At 43.5% G+C, this 22,178-nt stretch overlaps 1 protein-coding gene and 1 long non-coding RNA gene across 5 annotated transcripts in view; one reads left to right on the top strand and one right to left on the bottom strand.

The window, feature by feature from the left end:
• The first annotated feature begins 271 nt into the window (after positions 1–271).
• LOC105373000 (uncharacterized) lies at positions 272–15,084 on the top strand. Of its 2 annotated transcripts, none has more exons than XR_938172.3 (3): positions 272–530; positions 1,939–2,086; positions 14,999–15,084. It is a non-coding gene; the product is annotated as an uncharacterized LOC105373000 (long non-coding RNA). The 2 variants fall into 2 exon arrangements; XR_938171.3 differs by lacking the exon at positions 14,999–15,084 and adding an exon at positions 6,858–7,031.
• Positions 8,912–22,178, bottom strand: part of SLC5A1 (solute carrier family 5 member 1) — a 69,769-nt gene continuing 56,502 nt past the window's right edge. For 2 of the 3 annotated variants that reach the window (NM_000343.4, NM_001256314.2), the window contains 3 exons: positions 19,704–19,919; positions 17,050–17,155; positions 8,912–11,951 (listed from right to left, as the gene is read on the bottom strand). In NM_000343.4, the coding sequence (NP_000334.1) occupies positions 11,728–11,951; positions 17,050–17,155; positions 19,704–19,919 (546 nt within the window). In that variant the 3' untranslated portion in view covers positions 8,912–11,727. Of the gene's footprint in view, positions 11,952–17,049; positions 17,156–19,703; positions 19,920–22,178 lie in introns of those variants that run through there. The other variant, XM_011530331.2, reaches the window with a different exon arrangement.

Below are 22,178 nucleotides of genomic sequence, written 5' to 3'. Positions count from 1 at the left end.
CTTGGCATCCTTTATATGTGGAGTTGATGCAAATGAAGTTCCTGGACTACATGTTCTGATTGGACAAGAGAAACCTCTAGGCCTAGTCTGATTGGACTTTGTTATCATGTTCTGATTGGTTATCCTAAGACTTCCTCTCATCCAGTCACAACACGAAAATAAAGCCCAATCATAGTAGACCTAGAGATTTTTCTCTCATCCAATCAGAACATGTAGTCCAGGAACCTAATTTGCATAACCTTTGTAAGCGAGAGTCTTGCCATTCCAGGTTCTTCTACGTCTGCCCGCCCATCTGTTCCGACCCCAGATTAGAGAAGGAGTTGTCACCGGTGGCATGCTGGAGGCTTGAGCCTGCAGCAGCATGGCTCGCCTCACTGTGGCTGGTGGCAGTGAGGTAGAGTACAGCACAGCCAAAGTGGTAGAAAGGTGGCAGAGTAGGTGAGCTATCCAGGGACTTGTGGCGGGGGGAGAGGGGCAGTGAGCTCAGGGGCCAAGGATTGGATGCACTATCGTGAACTACACTGCCCAAGGTGAGGGGGGGATTGGGGGCGCCATCTTGTGTGGGGGGTGTGTTAGGGGCAGTACTGGGTGTTGCACTGCCCACGGTGGGGAATGGTTGGGTGTTATCCCAGGCATCATTTCCTGCAGCAGTGGTGGGGTGGGGGCTTGTTGGGGGCCTATCTGTGGCTGCATTGGTCACACGAGGCTCGAGTTGGGGTGCTGTCTGGGACATCAGTGCCCATGGTGGGGAACTCCTTGGGTGTGATATCTGAGGTGTCACTGCCCATGGCTGGGGGCTGGTTTGGGGCGCTATCTATGGACTACACTGCCCACAGCCAGGAACGTGTTGGGGGCATTATCGGGAGTGGACTGCCAGTGGCAGGGGTGGAGGGACGGGTTGGGTGCTATTGGGGGGCTGCACTGCCCAGCAGGGAGTGTGTCGGGTGCACTATCCGGGGTTGCAGTGCCGGCAGTGGGTGGCAGATTGGGTGCACTATCAGGGGCTACACTGTCGCGTCAAGTGAGGGGTTGGCGGCGCTATCCTGGGCTACACCGCCAGTGATGGGGGGCATGTTAGGGTCGCTATCTGGTGCTGCACTCTCGGCAACGGGGTGGGTGGCGGTTGGGCGACCTACCCGGGCGTCACTGCCCAAGGCTAGGGTCTGCTTGGGGGCGCTATCCCGGGAGTCACTTCCCATGGCGGGAGGCTGGTTGGGGGCACTTTCCGTGGCTGCACTGCCAACATCAGGGAGCAGTTTGGGGGCATTAACCTGGGCTGCACTGCCAATGGCAGGGGGCAGGTTGTGGGCACCATCGGGTGCTGCAGTATCCTAGATGGGGATGAGTTATGGGGCATTATCAGGGGCTGCACTGCCAGTGGTGGGTGGTGGACACGTCAGTGACAGCGGTGGTCTCCAAGAGAGGAGCGGTCCTCCTCTCCCCGGACTCCAGACTCTAGACGGCCACCTCCTCCTGTTTGTGCTGAAGTGTGGCGGGCGCACAGTGTTTCCGCGGGAATACTGAGCATGGCAGGGGCCCTAGACCCACTGTGCTTCCTGGATCCACGTCTTCTTACTCTGTTTAGCAGAGACCACCTGGGATCCCCAGGCATACAGTAGCTGATACCATGGGGCAACAGGGCCCTTTGGGTGGAGGTGTCAGGAACGGGAACTGGCACTTCAGTGGGGAAGGCTGGCTGGGGTTGAGTTTCTGCTGCTCCTGCTCCCCAAGGAGTACAACCCGGCTGAGCCCAGCGGTTCCTGTGGAGTGGGAAGCCTGGGTACCATGGTGTCTCCAGTCCCCACCCCAGGCCCCAGTTCCTGGCCAGCTTGGGCCAAAAGGAGAGACTGGACTTTGGAAGGTGGGTTTGAGAGCCCCTGCCACCCAGTGGCCAACATGACTAAGTCTCTCACACTACTACTCTGCATCCTGTTCTAGGCTTTTCTGGCTTTGCCCATCCAGTTGCTCCGTGCCAGGAGAAGGAGTAGCCACCTGCACATGCTGGAGGCTGGAGCCAGGGACACCACGGCTTGCCTCGCTGTGGTTGGCGTGGTGGCAGCGATGGAGACTGCAGAGTGCCAGAGAGGTAGGAGGGCGGCTGGCTGCTGCCAGGGCCAGGGCAGTGCTGCAGCGGTGGCCAGGTGGTGGGAGCCCTGTAGGGTGGGCCGGTTCATTGAGGGCGGCAGCAGTGGTGGTTGTATTGGCATCGGTGCTAGTGGTGGCAGCAGTAGCAAGTCTGGGGCCTGGGAAGGCGAGTAGGAGCACTGCAGGGCCAGCCTGGGCTGGGTAGGAAGCTGCGGGTGCTGTACTGTGGACCTCTGTGGCAGCAGTAGACGTGCAGCCAGGGCAAGGAGGAGTCTTCTCTGAGGGCACCCTCCTCCTTCTGGGGCCTGAGCCAGGCGTGAGTGGCACCATTGTGTCATTATTAAAGTTTGAGGGGTGACTATTTGTGTATCTTTTTGCTTGTTTTCTGTTGGGATAGTCTTGGACTTTTTCAAATTTCATGAATCAGGGAGGGGACAACAGGTAGAATAGGCCTCCTGAGTCCCTTACCTGTTCTTTTTCCTTTTTTCTAGTCTGGTTTTTCTTCTCCTTATCATTTTCTTGTTCTTTTTCATTTTCCTATGCTGCTGCTTCTATTTCTTCTATGTGTTGTTGTTTCTCCTTCTCCTCCCTTTGTATTATTTATCCCAAGCAATAGCCTTAACAAACAACCATCCAAAACTGAGTTAAAAATAGACTACTTGTCAGTGTGTTGTACTCCCCCCTCCTCCCTGCCGCCCCAAGACAGAGTCTTGCCCTGTGCCCAGGCTGGAGTGCAGTGGTGTGATACCGGCTCACTGAAACCTCTGCCTCCCGGGTTCAAGCGATTCTCCTGCCTCAGCCTCCTGAGAAGCTGGGATTACAAGTGCACACCACCATGCCTGGCTAATTTTTGTATTTTTAGTAGAGACAAGGTTTCACCATATTGGCCAGGCTTGTCTCGAACTCCTGACCTCGTGATCCGCCTGTCTCAGCCTCCCAAAGTGCTGGGATTACAGGCATGAGCCACCTCGCCCTGCCCAGTGTGTTGTATTTTAAAAATTATCGGTCCATCTTTGTTTTAAAGATGAGGAAAAAAATAGTTGTATAAATATTTAGATACTTGAGTAGCTGTGCTCTGAGCACTTCCTAAGCTGCATCCCTTAAGTTCTGGTATGTTACATTTTCATTTTAATTCATCTCTAAGTATTTTCTAATTTCCCTTGTGATTTCTTTGACACATTGGTCGTTTAAGAGCATGTTATTCAATTTCCATATATTTATGAATTTTTGAGTTTTTTCTTCTATTACTGATTTGTAATTTCATTCCATGGTGGTTGGGAAAGATAATTTGATGACTTCAATCTTTTAAAATTTATTGAGACTTGTTTTATGTCCTAACATATAGTCAATCCTGGAGAATATCCATGTGCACTTGGGAAGAATGTGCATTTTGCTGTTGGTGGGTGGACTCTTCTGAATGTCTGTTAGATAGACTTGGTTTATCATGTTGTTCAAGTCCTTTATTTCCTTCTTGACCTTTCTAGATGTTCTGTGCATTACTGAAAGTGGTATATTGAAGTCTCCAACTATTATTATAGAATTACCTAACTCTTCTATCATCATCTATTCAATTCTGTCAATATTTTCTTCATGTATTCTGAAGCTCTGTTGTTTGGTGCATATTGTATAAGAAAAAATGTTATTCTGGCACTTGTTAAAACAGTAATGCAGACCTTATCTGTCACTCTTGCAATAGGTGTAGGGACTACTGCAGTGGGTTTTTGCAGTAGGGGAGAGAGATTGGGTTCAACTTTACAACAAGGAAAAATGGAACAGAGGGTTGGCGAATTAGTAGATGGAAAATTACTAAGCACATAAGGTGATGCTTGCTAAACTAACTAAACAGGATTTTTGCTGAAGACTGGCCAAAGTAATCAGATATCACCTGAAGAATGGTGGGAGATGAGGAGGATGATCATATATCAAAGGTGATCTGATATTGAGGGTGGGGGAGTCTGGCTAAATCAATTTGACAGGATTCTTGCTAAAACTGGGTGATGCAAAGATGAACACAGAAGCCCAAAGCTTGGGCCTAGTCAAACAGAGGGCTCAGAGGAGCCTGACTAAAGTTTGTTTGAGAGGATCTTTATCAATATATGTTTATAATTGTTATATCTTAATGAACTGACCCTTTTATCAACATATAATGTTGTTGTTTCTTTTAGCAGTTTTTGTTTTGTTTTGTTTTTTTTGAGATGGAGTCTCACTTTGTCACTCAGGCTGGAGTGGATCTCAGCTGACTACAGCCTCCACCTCCCAGGTTCAAGTGATTCTCCTGCCTCAGCCTCCCCAGTAGCTGGGACTACAGGTGCCCACCACCATGCTCACCTAATTTTTGTATTTTTAGCAGAGATGGGGTTTCACCATGTTGGCCATGCTGGACATGTGCTCCTGACCTCAAATGATCCACCCGCCTTGGGCTCCCAAAGTGCTGGGATTACAGGCATGAGCCACCACACCCAGCCCTCTTTCAACAGTTTTTATTTCAGGTCTTGTTTTCTGATTTTTTCTCATATTGCCCAACTGTCTTTTGGTTATCATGGAGTCTCTTTTTCCATCCCTGCACTTTCGATCTATTTGTGTCTTTGGATCTAAAGTGAATGCTTCATGAATAACACAGTTGAATCATGTTTTTATTACCCATTCTGATGATCTCTGCCTTTTGATGTAATTCATTTACATTCAAACAAATTACTGATAAGAAAGAACTTATTTCTGCCATTTTGCTATTTGTTTTCTGTATTTTATACCTTTTTGGTCTCATTTCCTCCATTACTGCCTTCTTTTGTGTTTAGTTGATTTTTCATAGTAAACTTTTTATTTTCTCATTTCATTTTATGTATATTTTTAGATATATCCTTTGTGATGACCAAGGGGATTAGATTTAACATCCTAAAGTTACCACAATCTCTTTTAAATTGATATCAACTTAACTTCAGAAGCATAGAGAACTCCACTTCTTTTTTTAATGCAGTTTTTACGTTATTGAGGTATGGTGAGGCCAACAGATCAGAAGACAACTGCCATTGAAAAGACAGTTTGTAACTTAACAGTTCCCAAGGCAAAGGGGCATGCCACACCACAAAAATCTACATGGGGAAGCCCCAGGGTTGCTCAGGAGGCAGGGGAATGGGAGAAAAACATGGGCAAGAGCATTTATTATGGTTTTGTGGGAAGAAATGCATAAAGCAAGGTAAGCAGGATTGGCTAGTTTGAATAATTTCAGAGGGCTCTGGGGCATAGGGGAGGAAAGGGATGAAAAGTGAAGATGGAGACTGGTGATGTATGTTCACTGAGGTCCATAAAATAACTGGACCAGGAAATAAGGAATGAGGGGAGATGAATGGGCACAAAGAGAGAATAAGAGAAGGTAAAGGGGCCAGAAGAAAGGTTGAGAAAGAGATGGATGGACTTTTAAGGAAATGATGGTGCAATTCCTGATCAACAGCCTGATGGTGTCCTGCAGCCCTTTGAGCTAACTATAGGAAGTGGAAGGGATTTGTTCTAAGCATGTAGATGTTGGGTAAGATATGGTCAAGTTGGTATGGCCCCAGGAGGAGAGAACAAGGTCTGAAAGGAAGAAGTTTATTATACTCTCAGATCCCAGAGAGGGGATAGTCATATGTCACACAGGGACATAGGGAAAGCACTGGTGTCATTAGGAGGCAGAAAGGAGTAAAGGAATGGGCCAGCACCTTAATTGGAGTTTCCTTGGGAAAGGCAGAACAGGGCAGAGTAAATGGTTTAGGATCGACTAGTTTGAACAATTCCAATGGGCTTTGGGCTATTGAATTGGTCTCTAGTTGCCTGGTGCCTGGCCCTAGGATTATTCAGTGCAGAGGAAATACTGGCTTAGTGTGTGGAAGTTGGATTTGGGGTGATAGACTTGGGATTGGTTGGTTTGTATATGAAAGACATGCTCCCAGGCAAGCTCTTTACTACCTGTAAGATAGAAAAGCAGACCTTGCTATCTGTAAGGTAGAAAAGCAGAAGCTGCTTTGACCTCCCTGGGAAGAGCAGTCTTTCCCTGAGTCTGCAAGATCCCCCAAATACCAGAGCATCAAGAATACAGAAAATAATAAACATATAGTTCATTGGCCTTGTGATAAATTGATACCAACTAGACAAATAAAGAATCTTAAGAAAACACAGAACAGGATCTAATCAGTTTGACAAAGGTTAGGGTAGGTGATCTCGGTTCCAAGTGGTAGCACCTAACACTTCTAGCTGACAGATGTGTATTTTTTGTTGAACCATTTTCTTAAGAGGAAATTCTTTTTATTTAAATTTAATTAATTCTTTTAATTACACCTGTGAAATCCCAATTATGTTGTCATATAATCCCACTGAAAAAATCATAATGTTAGTATTGACTGGTTTCAGGGTAGCTTAGAAAGGAGCTGAGAGTGGTTCCTGTGTATAAACATGGTTCAAAAGGTAAAGGGATGGCTTGTTCTCATGGAAGGAAGGAAATCCACAGAGCACTATTTGTAGTGCCTTCTCAGTCTCCTGAAGCGAGGCAGAGGAGAGGGAAAAGTGGAGAATTTCACTTGGCTGGCGTTCCCTAGAGGACTGGATCTGACATGAAGCTTGTGTTATGTTTTGAGTTTTGAGAGGCTAAAGGGAAAGGAAGAAAAGCCACTGGATGGGTGGACAGTGGAAAATGTCTAGACTGTCCTGGATTCGGTTTCTGGTTTTGCCAGTGATTTGCTGTGTATATTTTGGCAAATTATTTAGTCTCAACTGTGTATTTTGTTTTTTTGAAAAATGAGGACCTTGGTGCTTGTAGCATCTACCTACCTCCTGTCGTTGTGATGAGGACACTTTGAAAACGGGATGGGAGCTACATATGCAAAAGATGCCATACAGATGCTATATTAACCTGCATTATAGTCCCACAAATTAAAATGTATTCCTTTGATAAAAATAAAAACATTAAAACCCCATAACATCCTGATTCCCTGTTCTCCAGAGATTCTGGACAAATACTAAATATATCTATGGTGAGCTTAGTTGGCACAAGATATGGGTCAGGAAGCAGGAGGCCAGGATAGTTGATAATTGGATCTAGCAACTTGAACAATTTTTAAAATATAGGTAAGTTTAGAGATTATTTCAACTGCAGAGCCACTAGTAAACATGAGGTGAGTAACTCTGCCTGTACAAAGCCCCGTTAGAATAGACTGAGCTACTTAGGGTGAGCAAATGATAAATTATGCTACAATAATTTCAGGGGCACTATTCATTTCCCCAAATTGAAGATGGTATTCTAGGCCGGGCGCAGTGGCTCACTCCTGTAATCCCAGCACTTTGGGAGGCTGAGGCGGGTGGATCATGACTTCAGGAGATTGAGACCATCCTGGCTAACACGGTGAAACTCCGTCTCTACTAAAAATATGAAAAATTAGCCAGGCGTGGTGGCACATGCCTGTAATCCCAGCTACTTGGGAGGCTGAGGCAGAAGAATCGCTTGAACCCGGGAGGCGGAGGTTGCAGTGAGCGGAGATCAGGTCACTGTACTCCAGCCTGGGCAACAGAGCAAGACTTAGTCTCAAAAAAAAAAAAAAAAAAAAAAGAAGATGGTATTCTCTATGGGGTTGAATGACTGCCTATCTGTCCTCAATTTATAGAACTGAAAAATCATGCCTTATCAGGCAGAAAAAACTTCTTTAAATATAGATGCCTATTTCAAAAGGAATCTTTCAAAATGCAAAGCCTGGCCTCTGTCCCTACAGAGTGAAGTTGGTCCTGGGGCCTTTGACCTACCTGAGAGCACTACTTTGCTTGTGTGTAGCTGTGCCCGGCATTGCTGTTCCCTCAGTGACATTCCTTCTTTGGAACTCACTGGAACGCACTCTTACCTAGTGCTGAAGTCACCATCTTCTAAAAGAGGTGCTGCAGCTTGTGTTTTCTTGTCCTTCTTCACAAAAGTGAACCTCGAGAGAAAAGCATAAGTGAGCTTGCCTGGATGAAAGGGGTTTCTTAACATCCTTCCTATCCTGTCCAAAGAAAATCTCACCTAACCTCCAAATTGTAATTTGATGGATGAAGTTGTTTCAGTGAGGTGGCATTGTCTTGGTAGTTTGGTGGGGATGGGATTAGGGAGGTGTGGATGAGGTCAGTGGGGCCGGTGTTGTGTGACTGGCTCCAAGGGACTCAGGTAAGTACAATTCAGCCCCAGAGCCCCATGTTGCATCCTTAACCCAGCCAGCTTTTGAAGTCCTGAGAGCCACTCAGTGAAAGAACAGGCAATTTAATACCATGTATCCCATGCTTGGAAAACTGGTAGCAAAAACCCATCTGATAAAGGGACCTTCTTCACACAAGAGTGCTGGCAGCTCACGCACATGCAGTTCAGAACCAGACCAAGGGCTGCTTAGAGTAGTGATTCTCCAGCTATAGCTTGCATCAGAACCCCTGGAGGGCTTGTTGAAACACAGATTTTTGGGATGCACCCCCTCCCCTGACATTTCTGATTTTGTAGGTCTGGAATAGGGCCTGAGAACGTGCGTTTCTAACAAGTTCCCAGATGATTTTGCGGCTGCTGGTCTGAAGATCACATTTTGAAAACCACTATTTAGAGTTAACTTCTAAAGGGGCTTCATTTCCTCACCAACACTGGAAGAATGGAGAAACCTTTTCCCCAGTTCCTCCTTTGAGATTTGTAGAGCTGTGTTAGGACCGAAAGCCTTTTCTGAAATCAAAGGTGTGTAGGTATGGCTGAGGTACATTACAGCACCCAGGGAAAGAAAACTCTGACCCCATTGACTTTTAGGGCCCATCTGCTTAATTCTGGCCCCTCCTCTACGTGTCCAGTGCCTGTCACTTTTTTTGGAAATTATTTTTATTTTTTAAATTCACAAATAATAATTATATATACTCATGGCATACAACATATTTTTATATATGTACATATTGTGAAATGACTAAATTAAGGTAATTAACATCTATTACTGCACATATTTTTTTGTGGTAGAACACTCACACTACTCTCAGCAATTTTCAAGTATATGTTATATTGCTATTAACTATAATTGATACATTGTACAATTGATTTTCTGAACTTATTCCACCTAACTAAACCTTTGTATCATTTGACCAACATCTCCCCAGTCCCTCCCTCCCCCAGCCCTTGATAACCATCATTCTACTCTCTGCTTCTGAGTTTGACTTTTTAAGATTCTACATATCAGTGAGATCATGTGGTATTTGTCTTTCTGGGGCAAGGCCTGATATTTTACAAGCTTGACTTTTGTGTTTGGTACTCATTAAATAGTTTATATGCACAACTCCCCACCCACACTGGTTCTCAAAGTCAGTCTCACAGGTGTAATATTTTTTCAGGCAGTAGGGTGAGGGGGAAAGCAGTAATGTTTATTGGGCATTTTCTACGGACCGGGCCTTTTAAGCAGTATCAATTGACCTCACCTAATCTTTACAACAGCTCTGTGAAGTCTGCATTATGCTTGGAGGAACCTGAGGTTCAGAGAGTTTTAGGGACTCAGCCAAGGTGAGGAACTTGGTGGTCATGGTGTAGGGGTTGACAGTCCCTCCTCCCTGCTGCAGAATGTCCCAAAGCAGCCTTCTAACAGTGATACAACATCTCTCCTTCAATTCTGAAGACCCTGGAATGGGGATGGGATGTAGACAAGTTAGAAGACCAACACCTATTGAGCACCTACTTATTTAAATAAATGTTATACTGATAAATGCTGTCAATGTATAACATTTAAATCTGTGAGCCAGGCATTTATGTCTCTGTTTTCAGATGAAAAATGAAGGTTCAAGGACATTGATCACGTTGCTCGGGGTATATCTGTACTCTGAGCCTTCTCCTCAGGTTGGTCTAGGTGGATATCTTCTCCTGACCAAAAACTGATAGGAGTCAAATATTTTCACGGTCAAAGCAGCTTCTGCTTTTCTACCAAGGCTCTTCCAAAACTTCTGGGAATGGATAACGATGTTTTCTGGTTCTACTTCACCCTGAGCACAAGGGAACCTGGTCCTTGAATGAACCTGCACTCAAAAAATCAAACTAAACACCGGATAGTTTAGATTGGCATAAATGCAAATCAGAGTGTTGGGCTTTGCTTGTATTTGCTGACATGCTATAGTACCAGAGTCAAGGTGCCAGGGTCCTGGGAGCAACAAATGCATTCCCATTGATTTATTGTTGAAAAACCCTCTGATCAGCCTACCCAAAGGCCCTGCCCTACCCTGCCTTGCCTCACCTACATACGTTCAGTTTGTAATTCTTTTTCCTTTTGCTGCACAATAACTGCTTCCGTTTACCTTTTTCACGGGAGACTCTGGCTTGGAAATCTCCAAAATGCATACTTTATCTGTGTTGTGGGTTTGTTTAGTATCTCTTCAAGACTCACTTGCTGACTTCCTAACCCTCAGTTTCTCACAGTGTGACTGTATTTGGAGGTAGGGGCTTTAAAGAGGTGATTAAAATGAAGACATTAGGGTGGGTCCTATTCCAATATGACTGATGTCCTTATCAGAAGAGTAGATTTAGGACACAGACAAAAGGAAGGCCACGGAAGACAGAGTGAGATATGACCATCTGCAACCAAGGAGAGAGGCCTCAGAAGAAACCAACCCTGCTGACATCTTGGCCTCCAACTTCTAGCCTCTAGAACTGTGAGAAAATAAATGTCTGCTGCTTGAGCCATCTGGTCTGTGCTACTTTGTTATGGCATCCCTAGAAAACTAATATAATCAGTTTGACAAATGCATCCCAAGTCATTAGTAACCAGTGAGCATACTTTGTGTAGCCACAAGAAAAGGTTAACTAAGGGCCAGGCTCATGTAAAAAGCAAGCAAAGATTTAAAAATAAATGCCTATGTCATTCATTTATTCAACACGCATTGCTGAAAATCTAAGACATTCCAGGCACTGTGAATGCCAAAATGAGTGGAATCCCAAACACGGGGAACTCACAATGGACATTTTAAGAAGCCCAGAAAATCCCCTGGATTCAGGCTATCTGCCTCCCCCACTAGCTTGAGGCTGGGGCCCGGGTCCCTCCCTTTTGTGGAAGTACTACCTTCCTCAGGCCTCCACTTCAGAGAGCAAACACCCAGGACAGGGAGCCCATCAAGCTCCATCCTCAGCTTCCATGCATTCCTCAGTTTACCTGATTGACACACTTGAGAGGGAAAGTCCAGGCAAAACTCAAGAGGGATATGATGAGGGGAAAACAGCTTTCTTTTAAAAAAAAAATGGGGAGGAGGACGGACAGGAAAAGTGGCAGGAACCAGGGAGACCAAAGTTTCTAAAACAATATTCAAGGATTATAAACCACACTGACACCCGGAATCTACCTGAGACAGACTCACGTCAGACATCAATCACATGGCTTCTGATTCTTAGTCTGCCTTTTTCTGGATGTGACTGAGTGGACTTCCCTTCTGCAGCTCCAGTAGGTACAGATGGCTGTATCACACTGGCTTCAAATGCATAAATTAACAGCAAACTAATGGTTTTCTTCCAGCTAGCCTATAATTACACATGTACACATTTATCCACCTGGGCAAAATTTACAACTGGCTGATTTCCCTTCAACACCACAGGACGAGACTAAAGGAAGGTGAGTAAGAGTCCAGCCATGGTAAATCTACAGCAAAAGGTAGGACTCAGGCAAAATATGCATGGCAAAAGACAGCCACGGTCACCAGGATGATGCCATTGACGTTCAACACTGTCCTCCACAAAGGCTTCTCAGAGGTGTCCGTCATCTTCATCTTCATGGCTTTCTCCTCTTCCTCAGTCATCTTGGGTGCACCGTGCTGCTCTAGCCCACAAAATAGGTCATAGGCTCTCCTGAAGATTCCTTTTTTCTTCTCAGGAACTTGTGTTTCTGGGCAAAGGCATAGAAGAATTATTGGACACAGAAGCAGGATGGACTAGAAAAGTTTTCAGGGGAGAAGCCACACCATGAAGCATCTGCTATTCTGCAGAAATTTCCCAAAAATGAGAAATTTCCCCAAATTTCCCCCATATTTTCTTGTTTTAAGGAATGAAAACGGTAGAAAATGTTCCAACAAACTTAATGACAAAATGGTCTTACTATCTGCATCCTTAGGATCAGCTAGTCTAAGTTTTATCTCTATCAGGCCCAATGCAAATTCATTTTGATTTGGAACAGTCAGATCAAATAATAGTTTATAATAAAGACACATTAATAATAGGCTGGGGAATTGTGCCATAGGAAGGAAAACTCAACTCTGAAACACAAAATCTCATATCTGTTCACTACATCACCAGAAAGCAGTCTGGCTGGCATGATTCAGGAGTGCGTTGGTTACATCTGTCCATTCTAAGGCTTCACAACAGACCCAGCCAGGTGGTAAGAACTGGTCTGAACAGCTCCTGTTGCGGCGCAGCAATGAGCAATACTTCCCAGGCTTAGGATCTAATGTCACATATCAGCACTGCTTAATCAAACTGTCCACACCTGGCCCTGATGCTCAAATTGAATACCCACCAAGGGAACTGATTCCCTCCTCTGAGCCCAGGCGTGGCCCTGGAGGTAGACAAACCTGGTTTCAAATGCCCACTCTGGCACTCACTAGATAAGAGATCAAGCCCACTGTGTTTTCAGCACCACAGTCACAGACCCTGCAAAGCACTTTCCCATTTTTACAAGTCACTGAATTTTATCTTTATTTTTTAAGAGACAGAGTCTTGCTCTGTTGCCCAGGCTGGAGTGCAGTGGGGTAATCATAGCTCACTGCAGCCGTGAACTCCTGGGCTCAAATGATCCCCCCCACCTCGGTCTCCTTAGTAGCTAAGCTGGGACTAAAGGTGCATGCCACCATGTCCAGTTAAATTTTTTTTTGTAGAGTATCTGAGTATGTTGCCCAGGCTTGTCTTGAACTCCTGGACTCAAGCAATACTCCCACCTTGGCCTCCCAAAATGTTGGGATTACAGATGTAGGTCACCATGGCCAGCATCACAGAATTTTAGCTTTAAAACATCACAGAATTTTAGAACTGGAAAGAATCTCAGTGACCAAGTTCACACGAGTCAGAATTGGGACCAAAACCTGGCTTTATGGTCTTGTTAATTCACCTCCCTTATCTTCATGTATCAGAAGAATTGGATAAATAATACCTTCTTCATTGTACTAATGAAGAATTTAATGATTTAATGAGAGAGCCTCTAGCTCTTATTGGGGTAGAGCCTCTCTTATTGTGGTAGAGCCTCTACCACAATGAGACCTTTTGACACTCAAAATACTCCTAATCCATGTCCCTTGACACAGTAGATGTCAAAAAGTGTAGGTCTCTTTCTATTCTCTCTTTTGTCTCACACACTCACACCTCTCCCCTTTGACTCACTCCACCAAAATAGCAGAGTGGGAAAGAAGGAGTAATAAGCTAGGATCACTGATGACCTCAAGTGAGAAATACATGACTTTCTGGGCCAATAAAAAGTTGAATGGCCAGCTGGTGTGGTGGCTCATGCCTGTAATCCCAACACTTTGGGAGGCCAACATGGGTGGATCACGAGGTCAGGAGATCGAGACTATCCTGGCTAACATGGTGAAGCTCCGTCTCTACTAAAAATACAAAAAAATTAGCAGGGCATGGTGGCATGTAGTCCCAGCTACTCGGGAGGCTGAGGCAGGAGAATGGCGTGAACCCGGGAGGTGAAGCTTGCAGTGAGCCGATATTGTGCCACTGCACTCCAACCTGGGTGACAGAGTGAGACTCTGTCTCAAAAAAAAAAAAAAAATTGAATGGCCTTAGGAAATTCTCTGTGTCACATTTTCCTGTTCTGGAAAGGAAGGAAAATTGGAAGAATTGTACTTGCGTTATCTGCCTTAAGAGGATGATGCATTGCTGAAATGAATCACTAAAGTGTTTATAATTAAAACATGTTATGATCATATCATTATCGATGATGGTGGTGGTGGTGGTGGTGGTGAGGATGATGATACTGGGACAGTGATGCACCTGCAAAGCTTCCTTGTGTTGCTGTTTCTCAGAGAATGGTGAATGTGACATTCATGGTCTGTAAAATCCCTAAAGATAGCTTAGTTTATTGTGCTTTAATAGGGTAGGATGTTCAGTCTGATTTCACCCTAAGTTCATGAAGACACAACAGAATTTGAGTGCTGCCATGAACCTCAGAGGTCACCAAGTCAAATCTCTAGCCAGTACGGAAGTTCCCTCTACAGAATCCTTGACAGATGTACACATACTGCTCATCCCTGTCCAGACCAACTCAATTAGAAACTCTTCCTTCAAAGCAATCATGATGGTGGTAAATATAGACAATTCTTACAGCAGAGCATAAGAGGCATGGGTTTTCATTTAGAATACTTTTATGTGATGAATCTGAGCTTTAGAACAATGGAATCACTTTCCCAGAGTATTAGGAAGAGAATTGATGATGATTAAATCCCAGTTCTTCCTGATTCCAAATCTCACAGTCTATCTCTGCACTATCTTGCCTCCTTACTCTGAGTTAAAATCGGATGAATTCTTTTCACCCACCAGTGTTAAGTCTGCCTTCTGGCATAAAAATAATCTCTTCTTCCACAATAAGATCTTTTGACACTCAAAATACTCCTAATCCATGTCCCTTTAAAATCTATGATATTCTTACACAGTGTGGAGACATTTTTGGAGGTAGGAGAAGTAGAGGGCATGTTCCTGCCTGCCTGCCCCAGGGAGGCAGGAAGGGGCTGTTTTCAGCACCATGGCCAGCTGCTGTGGCTCCAGGCTCTCTCCAGTATTTGCAGTCACAAGTTTTAGAATTGAAAGGTACTCGAAGATCAAGAGCAGATTGTAACAAAGCTGAGACCTTAGGCACAGCCTCTCCCTCCCTAAGCCTCAATTTACATGTCTATAAAATGAGATGATAAGACCAAATGATCTCTAGGGCTCTTTCCCCAGGTAGGATTCTATGATGTTCCTGATGGCCAGATTGAGAATCTGTTCTGAGCTACACCTGTGCTCTCCTTCAGATGGAGTGATATGAGGCCTCCAGCCCAGCACCAGGTAAAGCACATATGACCTTGAGCCCCCATAGCTCTGCACACCACACACCTCCACAACCATCCTCCACGTGTGCACGTTTCCCACATAGAGAGGAAAAGTTGCAATACTGAAGTAGAAGAAAGTATTAACTTACAGGATAAGTCTCTGGGCACTGACTAAGCGTTATTTCATTGGTCTTCGAGAGAAATTTGATTTTCTGCATTTGATATTGTAAGCCAGTATGACATAAGATCCCAAGGGCTTCTATCCCCTCATCTTGATGTCACTAGAACTGGCCATAGCTTTGGTTCCATCTGCCCTCAGTTCACAGGCTATGTCAGAAGAGCTCCAACTCTTCTCTTATCCCTGGCCATTCCTCAAATCAAGGCAGGGTGGCAAATTCCTCACCCACACTTACTCACTGAGTGCTGTCAAATATGAGGGGTAAGAATCCAATCAAAAATGGTCTAAAGATTTTAATAGACGTTTCTCAAAATATGATATATAAATGGCTAATAGGCACATAAAAATGTGCTCAACATCATCAATCATAGAAATGCAAATCAAAACTACAATGATATATCATCTCATCACAGTTAAAACGGCTTATATCCAAAAGACAGGCAATAACAAATGCTGGTGAGGATGTACACTGTTGGTGGGAATGAAAGTTAGTATGACCAGTATGGAGAACAGTTTGGAGGTTCCTCAAAAAACTAAAAAGACAGCTACCATATAATTCAGTAATCCCACTGCTGGGTATATGCCCAAAAGAAAGGAAATTAGTATATTGAAGAGATATCTGCACTCCTATGTTTGTTGCTGCACTGTTTACAATGGCTAAGATTTGGAAGCAACCTAAGTGTCCATCAACAGATGAATGGATAAAGAAAATGGGTACATATACACAATGGAGTACTATTCAGCCATAAAGAAAGAATGAGACCCTGTCATTTGCAACAACATGGATGGAACTGGAGATCATTATGTTAAGTGAAATAGGCCAGTCACAGTAAGACAAACATCTCATGTTCTCACTTATTTGTGAGATCTAAAAATCAAAACAATTGAACTCATGGACATAGAAAGTAGAAAGATGGTTACCAGAGGCTGGGAAGGGTAGTGGGGGTCTGGGGATGGGGTAGGGATGGTTAATGGGTACAACAAAAAAATAGAAAGAATGACTAACCTACTATTTGATAGCACAACAGGGTGGCTATAGTCAATGAAAACTTAATTGTACATTTTAAAATTAAGAGTGCAAGGCCGGGTGTGGTGGCTTATGCCTGTAATCCCAATACTTTGGGAGGCCAAGGCGGGCAGATCACCTAAGGTCAGGAGTTTGAGACCAGGCTAACCAACATGGAGAAACCCCATCTCTACTAAAAACATACAAAATTAGCCGGGCGTGGTGGTGCATGCCTGTATTCCCAGCTACTCAGGAGGCTGAGGCAGGAGAATCGCTTGAACCCAGGAGGTGGAGGTTGCAGTGAGCCGAGATTGCGCCATTGCACTCCAGCCTAGGCAACAAGAGTGAAACTCGGTCTCAAAAAAAAAAAAAAAAAAAAATTAAGAGTGCAACTGGATTGTTTGCAACTCAAAGGATAAATGCTTGAGGGGGTGGACACCCCATTCTCCATGATGTGCTTGCTTGCAGGCATGATTGCATGCCTGCATCAGAACATCTCACGTACCTCATAAATGTATACACCTACTACGTACTCACAAAAATTTTTTAAATATGAGGGGTGAGGGAGCTTGAATGATTCTGTACCCTTTCTTTCCCTTGAACTCAGAGTTAACTTCCCCAAACCCACTTATCCATCTCATCCCCACCCTACTCCTCACTGCCCTGGAGGGGAGACATCTGAGCTCTGATAAAATTATTTAGGGAAGAACTTCAGTAAAGTCTTGTTGTTGTAGGAGTAACTTTTATGGTTTAGGATCTGCTCTGGGTCATAAGTCACCTATTTCAATGGTCTCCTTAGGGCCTTCTTGGATGTTCTCCTCTTCCGCATCCAGGTCAATACGCTCCTCTTTGCTGTTGCGCAGGCTCCAACACAGACGGTAGAGCTGCAGAGAAGGCAGAACAGGTCAACAGAAAGATCCAAATAGCATCTTGGGACAAGAAGTTGGGGGGGCAAAGAGATATGCATCAAGGAAGGGAAGGGAATGTGGCATCTCAGTACCAGGAAGAACATACACAACGATTCTCATCCATAACATTATCTCTAAAAACATTGGTAACTTAGATAAAAGTAATATACATGTATATACTAGCCTCTATGATATATGCATATTCAGAGCTAAAAGATTGCCTCATATGGAAATGTTTGTTGAATGAACTCTTTTACGTGTGTGTGTGATAAATAATTTGTTCCTTTTAGCACTGGCAGTAGGAAGCAACAAGACAACCATTTGTCCAGGTTAGGAGTGTAAGTTCAGATTTTTGCACTATGTCACATTATGTGGATAAGAAGCTAGAATCATGAGCCATAATAGAATATGGTAGAGCTGAAGGCACAGTTTCTATTGACATAGTCAAGAGCATGAACCAAATACTTGATCTAGAGCATGAACTCGGTCTAGGGCATCAACTAGAAATGTGTTTGGGTTGTAATACTTTCAAAGACTTGAGACATGAGGAAGCAGTTGATACAACACAAAGAAAGCCTGTGACAGGTCCAGCAAATAGATGTGATTCAGTTCTGCTGCCATAAAAGCAGTCTTTGTTTGACGTTAGGTTTGTCACAGCTCTTAAAAATTTGGCAATGAAGTTGAAGGTCTCTTAGGGATTCCATAGTCTGTGCATGCATGAGTAAAGTAAAGGATTAACAAAATCCTTCTGTTTTCTAGGAATAAATATGACCTTGGGTTAACTTTCTGGCTCTGTTCCCTTGGAAACCTGGAAATCTGTGTTGGGTTACCAGACTACTAATAAAAATGGCTCATAATTGGTCATCTTTATCTAAATTGGGAGAGCCATGAATGAATTCTAAACCAATGGGGGCATCTAGAGTTAAAGAAGAGTAATTGCAACTTTTGAAGTCTTGAATCAATTAGACTTTGATATTGTTAGAAATGTTTTACATCCTATGGTCAATTTTTGGTGGACTAATTTGGAAAAAAAAATCAAGAGGCAAACTATATTTTGGGTTTCCCTGAGTAGACTGATTTTTGTAACTAGGTATGTGCTTTGTTGGGACCTTTGAAAGCTTTGACCATGGGACTGTCAAAAGAAATACCAGTTTCTATTTGGAACATAGGCTTCTAAGCCAGGTAGCCCTGTACCACCCATGTGATCTTACGCACCTGAGCTGTCACTTGGGGAGCAGGTTTCAGAGAATAAGCCCTGGAATAAAGGGTGGACAACTGTGAGGACTCTGACTAAAGACATGGGCTTGATATCAGCCTGTTGGCACACCATGTTTCCTGGCATGTATCCTTCCACGTGAAACCAATGGCAAGTCATGTGAATGTGAATATAAGATGTATAATTTTGCTGAGGCTGACCAAGAATGTTGTGGCATGTCAACATCACTAATCATCAGAGAAATGCAAATCAAACTATAATGAGATATCATCTCACCCCATTTAAAATGGCTTTTATCAAAAAGGCAATAATGAATGCTGGTGAGGATGGGGAGAAAGGGGAATCCTCAAACACTGTTGGTGAGAATGTAAATTATCACAGCCACAATGAAGAACACTATGGAAGTTCCTCAAAGAACTAAAAATAGAGCCACCATATGATCCAGCAATTCTACTACTGGATATATATTCAAAAGAAAGTAAACCAGTATATCAAAGAGATACCTGTATTCCTATATTTACTGCAGCACTATTCACAGTAGCCAAGATATGGAATCAATCTAAGTGTCCACTGACAAATGAATGGATAAAGAAAATATTGTACAAATATACAGTAGAGTATTATTCCACCATAAAAAGAATGAGATCCTGTATTTGCAACAACATGGATGGAACTGGAGGCCATTATGTTAAGTAAAATAAGCCAGGCATAAAAAGACAAATTTCTCATGTTCTCACCATATATAGGAGCTAAAAGTTTTAAAAACCAAACTCATGGAGATAGAGAGTAGATTGATGGTTACCGAGGCCAGGAAGGGTAGCAGGGAATGGAGGACAGAATGGAGATGGTTAATGGGTACAAAAATACAATTAGAATGAATTAAAATCTAGTAGTTGGTAGCACAATAGGGCAGCTATACGTAATTTATTATATACATATAATTTAAAGACAGAGTCTCACTATGTTGTCAGGGTGGTCCCAAACTCCTGGACTCAGGTGATCCTCCCACCTTGGCCTCCCAAAGTGCTGGGATTACAGGCATGAGCCACCATAATCTGTATTTTAAAATAACTAAGAGTGGAATTGGAATGTTCCTAACACAAAGAAATGATAAATGCTTGAGGCAATGGACACCCCAATTACCCTGATTTGATTATTTTATATTGTATGCCTGTATCAAAACATTACATGTACCCCATAATTATATACAACTATTATGTACCCATAATAATGAAAAATTTAAAAAAAATTAAAGAACATTGCAGTGTGAACATGAAACAAGGACAGATCCCCTAAATGGATACTCACATGCACATCCGGAATGGGTTTGGTGAGGAGGGAGATGACCACGATGGTGATGAAAGAAATGGCGAAGAGGATAATGGCAAAGTACAAGTAGTGCACCCCACAGATAATCGTGGGACAGTTGCTGGGCTCCATGCAGCTCCCGGTTCCATAAGCAAACTCAGTAATCATACGTGAAATCCCAATCAGAAGTCCTAGGATCAGTCCCCAAAAGGCTCCCTGTGAAAGAAAACCCTGGGTTAACTCATGCTGAACACACAAAACAGATGGCCTTTCTAACATTCTTTGGAGAGGCATAGGCAGAGGCAAAGGAACAGAGGTAGGAGAAGTGGTAGCTCCAGGCTGTCTGAACCCAGAACACTGAAGTTCAGAATATGGCTAGGAGTGCTATGCACTCAGACAGACACACTCAGTGTGTCTGTCTATCATGTTTCAGCAACATGATTTCACCTCGATCATTAAACAAGGAGCCATAATATAATGGGGTAAAGTGTCTAATAACTGGAATAGAATGTCAACCTACAGACTTGATTCCAAAAATTCCCTTTAACTTGAAAAATAATTTGAGCCTCTCCACCTGCAGCTACTGTCAACACCAATCTCCAGATTTAGGCATATTCAGATGAAAAGTAATTACTTGTGAGGTAATTTGTATTTCACAAAGACATGGGAAAAGAAATTGGGTCTTTGGAAGATGAAGGAGAAAGAAACTTTTCCATCAAAATATAAATAACACTTACTTTTTTAGCCCTCTTTGTAGTTTATTTTATGAACTATTTTTAGTTTGAGAACATAAAATTATACTGTGTTTTTACATTAAATTTTGGGTCTGCATATTAGAATATGGAAGACTTTAAGAGACCAGAAACATGAGGGGATGATTTTTCAGGGTTTTTTTTACTCCTTCCTTCCTTCCCTCCTTCCTTTTTTCCTTTCTATCTTTCCCTTAGGTAAGTCCTCACCTAAAGGACTAGGTTTGAGTTTGGCAGGCCAGTGGCAAAATAGAATGTGCTCTTAGAAGGGTGGCCCAAAAGAGCTTTCACAGTTTTATCAGGTGCTGGTCAGCCTCTTTGCTAGCCATTGGTATCCCTGCACTTTCTATTCCAAATTATCAGCTATCCCCCACACATGGCATGGCATGTGTTTTTGTCTCCAGGTCTTTGTACAGCTCATTCTATCTGGGAGAATACAGGCTCTTCTCTTCCTGGTAACCTCATTCTAGCTTAAATAGGACAAGCTACACAGGGTGGGTGCACCCTTTCTTGCTGTGGCCACAGCACTGTGGACACAGATCCAGGCAAGCACCAACCACACTGCCATGGAATCACAATAGTTCTCTGTCTCCCAATCTGAACCGGGGGATTGCCCAGGAAAGGAAACAGGTTTCATTCACTTTGTGTTGCTAGTGCCTCACCCTATGCTGGCATCTGGAAGTGACTTCTAGATGAAGAAATAAATAAGGAAAAAGAAAAAAATATGTTCCCTATTCATCCCCCATGCACTATTTCACTCAAAAAAATTATTTCTTAGCTGGGCATGGGGTGTGCCTGTAGTCCTCGCTACTTTGGAGGCTGAGGCAGAAGAATCACTTGAGTTCAGGAGTTTGAGACTAGCCTTGGCAATACAGTGAGATTCCTGTCTCAAAAAAAATCAATAAATTTGCCACGAAATAATTTTTTAAAAATTCAAATTTTTTCATAATAAAAACTCAACAAATTAGGTACAGAAGTAACAAACCTCAAAAACAATAAAGATTATAAGCTATATATGACAAACTCACAGCTGACATCATACTGAACAGGGAAAAATTGAAAGCCTTTCCGGTAAGATCTGGAAAAAGAAAAGGATACCCTTTCACCACTTTTATTCAACATAGTACTGGAAGTCCTAGACAGCGCAGTTAGGCAAGAGAAAAAGGGCATCCAAATTGGAAAAGAAGAAGTCAAATTGGCCTCATTTACATATGATATGATCTCATATTTAGAAAAACCTAAAGATTCCACCAAAGGGATCACTGTTAATGAAACCCTGACCTACCTTTCCAGCCACATCTTCCATCTTTCACATTCACAAACTCTCCTTGAGCCAGGTGAGATTCCATACAAGTCCTTCACCCTCACTCCTGTCCTACTTCTGCCTGAAAGGTCTGGGCAGTACTGTTCTCTGACTTGAATGCCATGTCTTCCCTCTCCAACTTCAAATTCTTCCAGCTCCAGCTGGTCCAAGGAGCCTTCCCTGACAGTTTCAGTCCCTGCTAATAAAGCCTTTCTTAAATCCCTTCCTGCTCATATCATGTGCTGTATTGTATCCCTTACTTCTTACGCACTTTGTTTTATGTATAAACTGCTTGTGCACCAGGACTTTGTCTTCACTGGGCCCTGAGAGGTGCTGGCTGGAAAGCCGAGTTCACAGTAGAGCACTGGAGGTACCTTGTGCTAGGACTTTCTCCCACTCACCTAGAGGCTACAGAATGCCTAG

The sequence above is a fragment of the Homo sapiens genome, chromosome 22 (genome assembly GCF_000001405.40).
Source record: "Homo sapiens chromosome 22, GRCh38.p14 Primary Assembly".
NCBI lineage: Eukaryota > Metazoa > Chordata > Mammalia > Primates > Hominidae > Homo > Homo sapiens.
Note: the sequence above shows the minus strand (reverse complement) of the source record. Positions and strands in the feature narration are given on the sequence as shown.